A 12,919-nucleotide genomic window follows, 5' to 3' on the forward strand; every position below is an offset into this window, starting at 1 on the left:
AGGTCATATGATATGTGTATGTTTATAAGAAATTGCCAAAATATTTTCCAAAATGGTTGTATCTTTTTACACTCCTGTCAGCAGCATATGAAACTTTGAGTTCCTTCATATCTGCACTAGAATTTGTTATTATCCACTTCTTAAATTTTAGCTATTCCAGTGGTTTTGTAGTGGTTTAAATTTGCATTTTCTTGATTACTTTAATGATGTTGAGCATGCTCTTACTGGCGATTTTTTAAAAACAATTATTTTCAATGGACAAATAATAATTGTGTATATTTCTGGGATACAGTGCAGTTTGGATATACATTTACTTTCTGTAATGATTAAGTCAAGGTTATTAACAAATCCATCACCTCACATACTTATTATTTTTTTTGTGGAGAAAACATTTAAAATTTACTTTTTAAGCAATTTTTTGATATATAATAGTTGTATACATTTTGGGGGTACATGTTATATTTTGATACCTGTATAGAATGCGTAATGATCAAATCAGGGTAATTTGAGTATGTACCACCTCATATATTTATATTTTATTTGTGCTGGGAATATTATAATTCTTCCCTTCTAGCTATTTTGAAGTATACAATAAATTATTAACTATAATTTCCCTACTGTACTATTGAGTGCTAGCACTAATCCCTTCCATTTACCTGTATTTTAGATCCCTTAACCAACTTTTCTTTTCTTTTGTCTATATCTTTTTAAAAAATTTCTAATTTTTGTGGGTAGTAGATGTGTATATTTATACATACATCTATTGCACATACATCTACCATATATTTATGGGTTACATGAGATATTTTGATACAGGCATGCTATGCATAATAATCACATGAAGGTAAATGAGGTATTCATTCCCTCAAACTTTATTTTTTTGTGTTACAAACAATCCAATTATACTCTTTTACTCATTTAAAAATGTACAACTAGATTATTTTTGACTGCAGACACTTTGTTGTGCTATGAAATGCTAGCTCTTATTCATTCTTTGAAACTAATTTTTCATACCCATTAACCATCCTTACTCCCTTGTCCCCTCCCCACCTGCCCAACTACCCTTCCCAGCCTCTGGTAACCATCCTTTTACTGTCTATCTCCATGAGTTCAATTGTTTTAATTTTTAGCTCCCACAAATAAGTGGGAACATGCAGTGTTTGTCTTTCTCTGCCTGGCTTATTTCACTTAATATAATGACCTCTAGTTCCATCCATGTTGCAAATGACTGAATCTCATTCTTTTTTATGGGTGAATAGTACTCCATTGTGTATATGTACCACATTTCCTTTATCCATTCATCTGTAGATGGACAGTTAGACTGCTTCCAAATCCTGGCTATTGAGAATAGTGCTGCAGTAAACATGGGCATGCAGATATCTCTTCGACGTAATGATTTCCATTCTTTTGGGTACATACCTAGGAGTGGGATTGCTAGATCATATGGTAGCTCTATTTTTAGTTTTCTGAGGAACCTCCAAACTGTTATACATAGTGATTGTACTAATTTATACTCCCACCAACAGTGTACAAGTATTCCCTTTTCTCCATATCTTCACTAGCATTTGTTATTGCCTGCCTTTTGAATAAAAGCCATTTTAAATGAGATGAGATGATATCTCATTGTAGTTTTGATTTGCAATTCTCTGTTACTCATTGATGTTGAACCCCTTTTCATATACCTGTTTGCCATTTGTATGTCTTCTTTTGAGAAATGTCTATTCAGACATTTTGCCCACCTTTAAATCAGATTATTAGATTTTTTCCTATAGAGTTGTTTGAGCTCCTTTTATGTTCTGGATATTAATCCCTTGTTGGATGGGTAGTTTGCAGATATTTCCTCCCATTCTGTGGGTTGTGTCTTCACTTTGTTGATTGCTTTCTTTGCTATGCAGAAGGCTTTTAACATGATGTGATCCCATTTATTCATGTTTCGTTTGGTTTTGTGTGCTTGTGGGGTATTACTCAAGAAATCTTTGTCCAGTCCAATGTCCTGGAGACTTTCTCTAATGTTTTCTTGTAGTAGTTTCATAGTTTGAGGTGTTAGATTTAAGTCTTTACTACATTTTCATTTGATTTTTGTATATGGTGAGAGGGAGGGGTCTAGTTTCATTGTCATGCATGTGGATATCCAGTTTTCTCAGCATCATTTATTGAAGAGACTGTTCTTTCCCAAGTGTATGTTCTGGGCACCTTTGTCAAAAATGAGTTCACTGTAGATTAATGGGTTTGTTTCTGGTTTCTCTATTCTGTTCCACTGGTCTATATTTCTGTACCATATCATTTTGATTAGTATACCTCTGTAGTATAATTTGATATCAGGTAATGTGATTCCTCCAGTTTTGTTCTTTTTGCTCAGGATAGCTTTAGCTATTCTGGGTCTTTTGTGATTCCATATAAATTTTAGGATTTTTTTTTCTATTTCTGTGAGGAATGTCACTGGTATTTTGATAGAGATTGCATTGAATTTGTAGATTTCTTTGGGTAGTGTGGCTATTTCAACAATATTGGTTCTTCTAATCCATGAACATGGAATATTTTTTCATTTTTGGTGTTCTCAATTTCTTGCATCAATGTTTTATAGTTTTCATTGTAGAGATCTTTCACTTATTTGATTAAACTAATTCCTAGACATTTTATTTCATTTATAGTTATTGTAAATGGGATTACTTTCTTGATTTTCAGATTGTTCACTGTTACCATATAGAAATGTTTTTCTTCTTTTTTGATATAAGTGCGTAGAGCTATAAACATACCTTTTAGTACTGTTTTGCTCTATCCCATAGGTTTTGGTATGTTGTATTTCCATTATCATTTGTTTCAAGAAATTTTTAAATTTCCTTGTTAATCTCCTCATTGACCCACTGTGAATTCAGGAGCATATTGTTTAATTTCCATGTATTTGTAATAGTTTTCAAAATTCCTCTTGTTATTCGTTTCTTGTTTTATTGCATTGTGGTCAGAGAAGATGCTTGATATTATTTAATTTTTTTGAATGCTTGAAGATTTCTTTTGTGACCTAACATATGGTCTGTCTATACTTGAGAATGATTCATGTTCTGAAGAAAAGAATGTGTGTTTTTCAGCTGTTGGATGAAATGTTCTGTAAATATCTATTAGATTCATTTTATCTATAGTGCAGATTAAGTTTGATGTTTCTTTATTGATTTTATTGATTTTCTGTCTGGAAGGTCTGCTGAGTGCTAAAAGTGGGATGTCAAAGTCTCCAGCTGTTATTGTATTGGGGTCTAGCTCTCTCTTTAGCTCTAATAATATTTGCTTTATATATCTGGGTGCTCCAGTGTTGGGTGCATATGTATTTACAATTGTTATATACTCTTGCTGAAATGACCCCTTTGTCATTATATAATGACCTTCTTTGTCTCTTATAGTTTTTGTCTTGAAATGTGTTTTGTCGGATATGAGTCTAGCTACTCCTGCTCTTTGTTTAGTTTCCATTGGCAAAGGATCCCTTTCCATCCATTTATTTTCAGTCTGTGTATGCCTTTATAGGTGAAGTGTATTTATTGTAAGCAACAGATCATTAATTTCTTTTGTTTTTAAAATTCGTTCAGCCACTCTTTGATTTTTGATTGGAGCATTTAGTTGATTTACATTCCATGTTATTATTGATAAATAAGAACTTCCTCCTGCCCTTTTGTTATTTGTCTTTCTTCTTCCTTTCCTTTCCCCTTTCTCCTCTTTCCTTTCCTTCCCTTCCCTTTCTGTTTCCTTCATCTTCCTCTTTCCTTCATCTTCATTTTAGTAAAGGTGATTTTCCTCTGGTGATATGATTTAATTTCTTGCTTTTTATTTTCTGTGTATCTGTTATATGTTTTTAGATTTGAGGTTAGCATGAGACTAGCAAATACTATCTTCTAGCCCATTATTTTAAGCTGATAGCAATTTAACACTGTGCACAAACAAACAAGCAAAAAGAAGGCTAATAAAAACTCTGATTTTACTTCCTCCCCCTGCTTTTCAACTTTTTGTTTTTTCTATTTATATATATCGTACTGACTATGTCTTGAAAAGTTGTAGTTATTATTTTGATTGGTTCATCATCTAGTCTTTCTGCTTAGAATAAGAGTAGTTTTATGCACCCCAGTTAAAGTGTTATAATAATAAAGTGTTTTTCTTTGTAGGTACTCTTACCAGTGAGTTTTGTACCTTCAGATGATTTATTATCACTCGTTAACGTCCTTTTTCTTTCTGATTAAATAATTCCCTTGTACATTTCTTGCAGGACAGGTCTGGTGTTGATGAAATCCCTCAGCTTTTGTTTCTCTGGGAAAGTCTTTATTTCTCCATTATGTTTAAAGAATATATATATATATTTTTTTACCAGATATGCTATCCTAAGGCAAAAGTTTTCTTTTTCCAGCACTTTTAAATATGTCATGCCACTCTCTCCTGACCTGTAAGGTTTCTGCTGAAAAGTCTGCTGCCAGACATATTGAATCTCCATTGTATATTATTTGTTCCTTTTCTCTTGCTGCTTTTAGGATCCTTTATCTTCGACCTTTAGGAGTTTGATTATTAAATGCTTTGAGGTAGTTTTCTTTGGGTTAAATCTGCTTGGTGTTCTATAACCTTCTTGTACTTGGATATTGATATCTTTCTCTAGGTTTGGGTAGTTATGTTATTATATTTTTGAAAAAAGCTTTCTACCCCCATCTCTTTATCTACCTCCTCTTTAAGGCCAATAACTCCTAGATTGGTCCCTTTGAGGCTATTTTGTAGATCTTGTAGATATGCTTTATTCTTTTTTATTCTTTTTTTATTTGTCTCCTCTGTGGATTTTCAAATAGCCTTTCTTCAAGCTCACTAATTCTTTCTTCTGCGTGGTCAGTTCTGCTATTAAGAGACTCTGATGCATTCTTCAGTAGGTCAATTGTGTCTTTCAACTGCAGAATTTCTGCTTGATTTTTTAAATAATTTCAATTTACTTTTAAAATTTATCTGATAGAATTTTGAATTCCTTCTCTGTGTTGTCTTGAATGTCTTTGAGTTTCCTCAAAATAGCTATGTTGAATTCTCTGTCTGAAAGGTCACATATCTCTGTTTCTCCAGGATTGGTCCTTGATGTCTTATTTAGTTCATTTGGTGAAGTCAGATTTTCCTGGATGGTCTTGATGCTTGTGGATGTTCTTTGGTTTCTGGGCATTGAAGAGTTAGGTATTTATTATAGTCTTTGCCATCTAGGCTTATTTGTAGCCATCCTCCTTGGGAAGGTTTTCCAGAGTATTTGAAAGGACTTAAGTGCTGTGATTTAAGCCATATTTGCATTAGGGGTCACCCCAACCTCAGTAATGGTGTGGTTTTTTGCAGACTCTTAGAGGTACTGTCTTGGTGGTCTTGGATAATATCCAGAAGAATTCTCTGGATTACCAGGCAGAGACACTTATTTTCTTTCCTTACTTTCTCTCAAACAAATGGAATTTCTCTTTCTTTCTGTGCTGACTGTCTGGAGCTGGGGTTGGAGAGACACATTCCTGTGGCCACCACCACTTAGATTGTGCTGGATCAGACCTGAAGTCAGCATGGCACTGGGTCTCACGCAAGGCTTGCTGAAACCACTACCTGACTACTGACTATGTTCACTCAAGGCCCTGGAGCTCCACGATCAGCAGGTGGCAAAGCCAACCAGGCTTGTGTCCTCCCCTTTAGGGAGCAAGTTCTCACAGCCCCTGGGCAGGTGCAGAGATGCCATCCTGGAGCCAGGGATTGGAGTCAGAAACCTTAGAAATACACCTGGTGTTCTGTTCTACTGTGGCTGATCTGGCATTCCAACCACTTGACACAGTCCTTCCTACTCTTACTTTTTTTCCCATAGGCTAAGGACCCTCACCCTATGGCCTCTGCCACCACAGGCCCACAGGGAGTAATGCCAGGCCACCACTGATGTTGAGTTTAGGCCCAGTGATTCCTTAGTCAGCTTGTTGTGGGTGTGCAAGGCCTGGGACTCACTCTTCAGGGCAGTGGGCTCCCCTCTGTCCCAGGACAGGTCCAGAAGTGCTATCTAAGAGAAAAGTCCTGGAATAAGGGAACCCAAGAGCCCTCTTGGTGCTCTACCCCACTGTGGTAGAGCATGTACCTGAAGTCAGCATGACTAAGTTCTACTCCAGGCCTACAGCATACTACCTGGGTATCACTGTTCATTCTTTAGGGCCCAAGGGCTGTTTAGTGAGTAGGTGATTGATCCTTCCCGGATGGGGTCCTTCCATTCAAGGCAGCAGGTTCCCTTCTGGCCAGGGTGTGTTTAGAAATATCTAGGAACTAGGACCTGGAATGGGGACTTCACCACCCTGATCAGTGCCCTATCTTATTGTGGCTGATCTGGTATCCAAGATGCAAGACAAAGTCTTCTTTACTCTTCCCTTTTCTCTCAACCAGAAGGACGGGGTCTTTTTGGCGCTGTGCACTCTGCTGCCTGAGGCTGGGGGAAGGATGGCACAAGTGTTCTCTTAGCTTCCCTGGCTGGTGTCTCTACAGGTCACTTGCCCCTGCAGTCTGGCTTAGAGCCCAGCTCACCACTAGGACTTGCCTAGTCATTGCAGTCCTTGTGTCATAGATTGCCCCTCAAGTTCACTTAGGGCCCCAGAGTACTCCAGCCCATGGTGGTGAGGCTTGCTGGAACTCAAGCTCTGACTGATCAGAAGGATGATTCCCCTCTGGCTAGGGCTGGTTTATATGCCCCCTCTATGGATGGGTGTCAGCTGAGTATAGCCTGATTCTGCTTTACACTGTGTCAGGGCAACATTGAATTCAATGCAAAGCCTCATAGACACTGTGCTCTCCTCCCTGAGTCACACAGATTCTCCGCACCATGAAGCTGCTGCTGGGGGATAAGGGATGGTTGCTGTTGACAATTCAAGACATTCTTTCCCACCCTCTTTGGTGCCTCTTTCAGCAACATGAAGTCATTCAAGAGCAAGTTGTTTAATTTCCATGTAATTGTGTGGTTTTTGAGATATCTTCTTGGTATTGATTTCTATTTTTATTTCACTGTGGCTTGAGTGTATGGTTGGTATAATTTCAATTTTTAAAAGATTTATTTAGACTTGGTTTATGGTTGAGCATGTGGTTGATCTTAGAGTATGTTCTGTGCACGGCTAAGAAAAATGTATATGCTATTGTTGAAATGTGGAGTACTTTGTAAGTGTGTATTAGTATTAGGTCCAATTGGTCAAGTGTTAAATTACATTCAGAATTTCTTTTTTAGTTTTCTGTCTTGGTGATCTGTCTAACACTGTCAGTGGGGTATTAAAGTTCTCCACTATTATTGTGTGACTAAGTGTTTTTGTAGGTTTAGAAGTAGTTAGAATCTAGGTTCTACAGTGTTCAGTGCATATATATTTGGTACCATTAAGTCTTCTTGTTGAATTGAACTCTTTATCATTATGTGATGTCATTATTTATCTTTTATTACTGTTTTTGGTCCAAAGTTTGTGTTATCTACTATAAAAATATTGACTTCTGCTCTTTTTTGTTTTCCATTTGCATGATAGATCTTTCTGCAACCCTTTACTATTAGCCTACTGGCTTTGTTACATATAAGATGGATCTCTTGAAGACAGCAGATGGATGGGTTTTGTTTTTTTATTCAACTTGCACTTAGAGTCTCTTACTTATTTCTGCTTGGATCTATATTATTTCTTTTGTTCCACTAATTTTAGGTTTAGTTTCTTCTTGCCTTTCTAGTTCCTTGAGGTGCATCATTAGGTTGCTAATTTGAAAATTTTCTCCTTTTTTGATGTAGGCATTTATTCTTATAAACTACCATCTTAGTATTGCTTTTGCTGTATCTCATAGGTTTTGTTATGCTGTGTTTCTATTTCATTTGTTTCAAACAATTTTTTATTTTTATTCTTTATTTCTTCATTGACTATTGATCATTCAGGAGCATGTTGTTTAATTTCTGTGTGCTTGTGTAGTTTTCTAAGTTCTTGTTATTGATTTCTAGTTTTATTCCCTTATGATCAGAAAAGATACTTCATATGATTTTAATTGTTTTTTGAATTTGTTGAGATCTGTTTTTTAGCTTAGCATATGGTCTATTCTGAAGAATGTTTCACTTGCTAATGAAAATAATATGTATTCTATAGCTGTTTGAAGAAATGTTGTGTTAGGTCCATTTGGTCTAGAGTGTGGTTTAACTCTGATGTCTGTGTTGATTTTTTCTTTTTTGGTCTGGGTGATCTTTCCATTACTGAGTGAGGTGTTGAATTGTCCAGGTATTATTGTAATTTATTCTTTCTTTCTCTTTATGTCTATTAATGTTTGCTTTATATATTTGGGTTCACCAGTGTTGGGTGCACTGTATTTAGAATTATTATATTCTCTTGCTAAATGGACTACTTTAGTAGTATATGGGGACCACCTTTGTTTCTTTTTACAGTCTTTGACTTGAAGTCTATTTTATCTAATATAAATATAGCTATTCCTGCTCTTTTGTGTTTCCATGTGCATGTAATATATTTTTCCATGCCTTTATTTTCAGTCTATGTGTCTTCATACATGATGTATTTTTATAGGTAGCATATAGTGAGGTCTCGCTTTTTATCCATTCTGACATTCTCCATGTCTTTTAAGTAGAGAATATAGTCCAGAGGAAGGTAAGTAGGTTACTAGTTACTCTCTTGTGACTGGTAGTAAAAGTCCTACATTAGTGTTTTAAATATTTAAAGATGTTAAAACCTGTAACTATCAGCAGCATTCATATCCTTTTCCAAATTCAAACAGTAAGCCCATCAAAATATAACTCCTAGTAAAGATTTTACTATTGTCATGATGTATTTTTACTTGTACATTTCACTAATTCATAGCAATGTGGACCTGCAAGCTGTTGTGATTTTCGAACTTGTGTACTGAAAGACGGAGCAAAATGTTATAAAGGACTGTGCTGCAAAGACTGTCAAGTAAGATTTAAGCTTATGAACATCTTTCAAATATATAACAAATCATGTGCAGGGTACTTTACAACACAGACCTACAGCTGTAATTACATCAATTAAATTACTTTTCAGATAAAGAGAAAGATAATAAATTCAGAATCAGATTTCTGATTTTTATTAACTTTTCTTAGGTGTTCTATATGCCAATATTTTCACTAAGTTGATGCTGTTTTTTTAAGCCTTGATTTAGAGATATTATTGGATTCTTCAATACGGAAGACCTCTATTGAATGGAACAATTATTTATTTGCATGATACAATATTTATATTATTGTAAATAAAAACGTTTTTATGGGTTGTGAATAAGTATCTATTTATGTGTAATTGAAAGATATAGCAGATTTCCTTAAATGTATAAGGAAGGAAACTCACTAGAAGTAACATTTTCCACATGGTACATGTAGCATAACATTTAAACTTTGAACTTATTATTCAAAGATCATTTGACTTAAAGATTATGTTTTAGTTTATACAGTGAAGACATTGACTCCTGTTTTCTGTTTTTCTTTTCAGCTCTTCTAAAATATTATTAACAGGTTTCTCATAAGAGAATACCTCTGTTGAATTATCCGTAATGCAGTCTACCTTCATGACTGTCCTGGACTGATGCAGTTTTATGTATTCTTTCCTTAGGATGTTATTATCTGATTGCATTCTTACTTCTGTAATCTTTTTAGTGTCAGCTGGAAGTCATCAATTAAGAATTATGAGATAGATGTTTTATTTGAGATTCTTTTTGTAAATTTCCACAATTCTATGTATGAAAGAGTCTACGTATTTCCATGATTTGAGAGAAAGATTCTAGTTGTGTTCCTTCCTCTCCAAAGACTCTCATAGTTGAACTGCATTTTTAATAACACTTCTGTTTCCCTCTGCAGTTTTTTATGTTTCACAGTTGTCATAGAATTTTAAAGTATTCCACACTTAAAAACCATGGCTTGAAAAAGTATATTTCATTTAGAAATGGACTAAATTACATTATTTTCACCCAAAAGAAATAAATTTCCTAAGCTTAAAGTGAACATTCTTCTCTTACATTGAGACTACAAATAAAACTTTGGCTTTCATCACATCAGATTTTTGTTTTGCATTTTCTTGTACATATGTCTTATCTCCTATTTTAGTCAATAACATTCCATTTATATTTTTATATTATTAGCATAGTAATTTGTACAAAAAAGTATTAATATACATTAATGGATAGACTAAAGCGAAAATGATTAACACAATTTTGAAGTAAATATTAACAAACAGTAATCCTATTTGTAATGCTTTATTTTTTATGTTCTAACTTCTCTTAGATTTTACAATCAGGCGTTGAATGTAGGCCGAAAGCACATCCTGAATGTGACATCGCTGAAAATTGTAATGGAACCTCACCAGAATGTGGTCCTGACATAACTTTAATCAATGGACTTTCATGCAAAAATAATAAGTTTATTTGTTATGACGGAGACTGCCATGATCTCGATGCACGTTGTGAGAGTGTATTTGGAAAAGGTAATATCTTTTTGTTACATCTCAATAGCCCTTAACATTGTTATTAACATTACCAGGATAATGGGGTATATTTTCATATATATAAAATGTGGAATGTTTTATATAGTATAAAATGTGGAATATTGTTTATATATATTTTATTATATATATAAGCAGAATGTTTTATATAGTATAAAATGTGGAATATATATATTTTATTATATGTATAAGCAAACATATACGCGCTAATTCTTCTTGTTAATGTTTATATTTTTTCCATCTTTGCTGACGTATAATTGACAAAAATTGTATGTATGTTTTTAGGTGTATGATTTTGTTTTGATATATGTATACATTGTGAAATATTTGCCACAGTTAAGTTGATTAACATGTCCATCATCTCATATAGTTACCATTTTTTTTTATCCTTTAAAAGAATTTTTGTATCTATCCTTTTTGCAGATTTCAAATATATAATAGAATGTCGTTTACTAAAGTCACATTGTTGTACATTACATCTCTTGAACTTATTTATTTTGCATAACTAAAATTTTGTACCCCTTGACTAGCATTTTGCCATTTCTCCCCTTACCTCAGCCTCTTGCAACCATCATTCTACTCTCTGCATTTTTGAGTTTGACAATTTTAGATTGTATATATAAGTGAGATCATGCGTTATTTACCTCTCTGTATCTAGCTTATTTCACTTAGCATAATGGCCTCCAGGTTCATCTGTGTTACTGCAAATGGCAGGATTTTCCTCCTTACTCTGACTGAATAATATTGCATTTTGTGTGTTTGTGTATATGTATATATCTATATAAACACAGACATATATATATCATATTTTTAATACATTTATCTGTTTACCTAAGCTAAAAGTGAACTTTCTTCTCTTATACTCAGAACACAAATAAAACTCTGACTTTCATTCCATCAGATTGTGCTATACTTTTTCAATCAAATAGACACTGGTTGTTTCCAAATCTTGGTTATTATGAATAATGTAGCAATAAACATGGGGGTGCACATATCTCTTTTGCAATATTGATTCATTTCCTTTGAATCTATACTCAGTTGGGATTGGTGAATCATAAGGTAGTTCTACTTTTGATTTCTAAGGATGTTCCATATTGTTTTCCTTAGCAGCTGTACCAACTTATATTCCCACTGACAGTGTATGAGGGTTTCTTTTCTCCACATCTTCACCAACATTTGTTATCTTTTATCTTTTTGACAATAATCATTCTAACAGATGTGAAGTGGTATCTCATTGTGGTTCTGTGATTAGTGATGAGCATCTTTTCATATATGTCTTGATGAGTTGTATGTATTCTCTGGAGAAATGTTTATTCAATCTTTTCTCCATTTTTGATTGGGCTTTTTTTTTGCTACTGAGTTTTATGAGTTACTGATATATTTTGGAAATGAATTCCTTATTATATATATGATCTGCAAATACTTTATCTTATTTTATAAAAGTTGGCTTTTCACTATGTTGATTTTTTCCTTTGTTGTGCAAAAGATTTTTAGGATGCTGGTCTTCATCCCCTCACAAAAAACAAAAAATAGAAAACTATTTATGAAGGATAATAGTCTTGTGAAGGCTCCAAGGTCCATCTAAGAACCCTCTGGCAGCACGGCAGAGAAAAAAATGGGAAAAACTGTAAAGAAGGATTGCTGATTACAGCAGCATATCTGAGATATATGGAGGTGGTTATGAACAAAGAAGGGAGGAAGCTATCAGTATTAGCCACTCAGCATGTGCCATTGTCATCTCCAGTGGCCTCTGCAGAGGACAGAGGCGTCTTTTATCACTGAGGTAACCAACAGTCATCCCTGCCTCTGGCTCCATGGAAAATGAGATCCAAATGTGCCTTTCCTCCAAGAATCAGCTACTATTTTATAGCTCTGGGACTTGAGTGACTACCCCTCCCAACCCTGTGCACACCCCTGACCCTGGAGCTGTGGCTCTTGTCTGCACTGTGTGCACTCATACGTCAGTCTCAGAGACAGTGCAGCTATGTGTGAGTCTTCACACTGAACCTAGGAACTTTTGTTGCTCTACACCCACATGTGCTTGAGACGCTGACTCTCCATCTGCTCCACAAACACCCACTCTACTTCATACATCATTACTTATGTGGAAGCAGGGCTGTCTTCACCCTAGGCACCAGTGTGACTGCTGCCCTGTACCCTTTGGTCTCTTCATGTGTGTTTGTGATTCAGACCCTGGCTCTGTGGCTACTGCATGGTCACTGTGCATCAGACATCAGTGAGGGAATGCCCTCAAACCAGACCTTGTGCCAAATGAAATTGCCCGGGGCCATGACCTCCCTGGTGGGAGAAAAAGAGATTGAGGGCCCCAGGATCTTTCACCATTGAAAACCCAACAGTCTCACTGCCCCTGCAGATACCACAGCTTTAGCTGCTCAGGACCCCCTGGAATCTTTGTTAATGTTGACCTCAGCTGACAGAAATGC

At 35.1% G+C, this 12,919-nt stretch overlaps 1 protein-coding gene across 13 annotated transcripts in view; it reads left to right on the forward strand.

Annotated features, from left to right (window-relative positions):
• Positions 1-12,919, forward strand: part of ADAM32 (ADAM metallopeptidase domain 32) — a 177,389-nt gene that overhangs the window by 105,253 nt on the left and 59,217 nt on the right. For all 13 annotated transcript variants that reach the window (NM_001313994.1, NM_145004.7, XM_011544433.3 and 10 more), the window contains 2 exon segments: positions 8,829-8,921; positions 10,259-10,457. In NM_001313994.1, the coding sequence (NP_001300923.1) occupies positions 8,829-8,921; positions 10,259-10,457 (292 nt within the window).

This window comes from Homo sapiens, chromosome 8, assembly GCF_000001405.40.
Source record: "Homo sapiens chromosome 8, GRCh38.p14 Primary Assembly".
Taxonomy (NCBI): domain Eukaryota; kingdom Metazoa; phylum Chordata; class Mammalia; order Primates; family Hominidae; genus Homo; species Homo sapiens.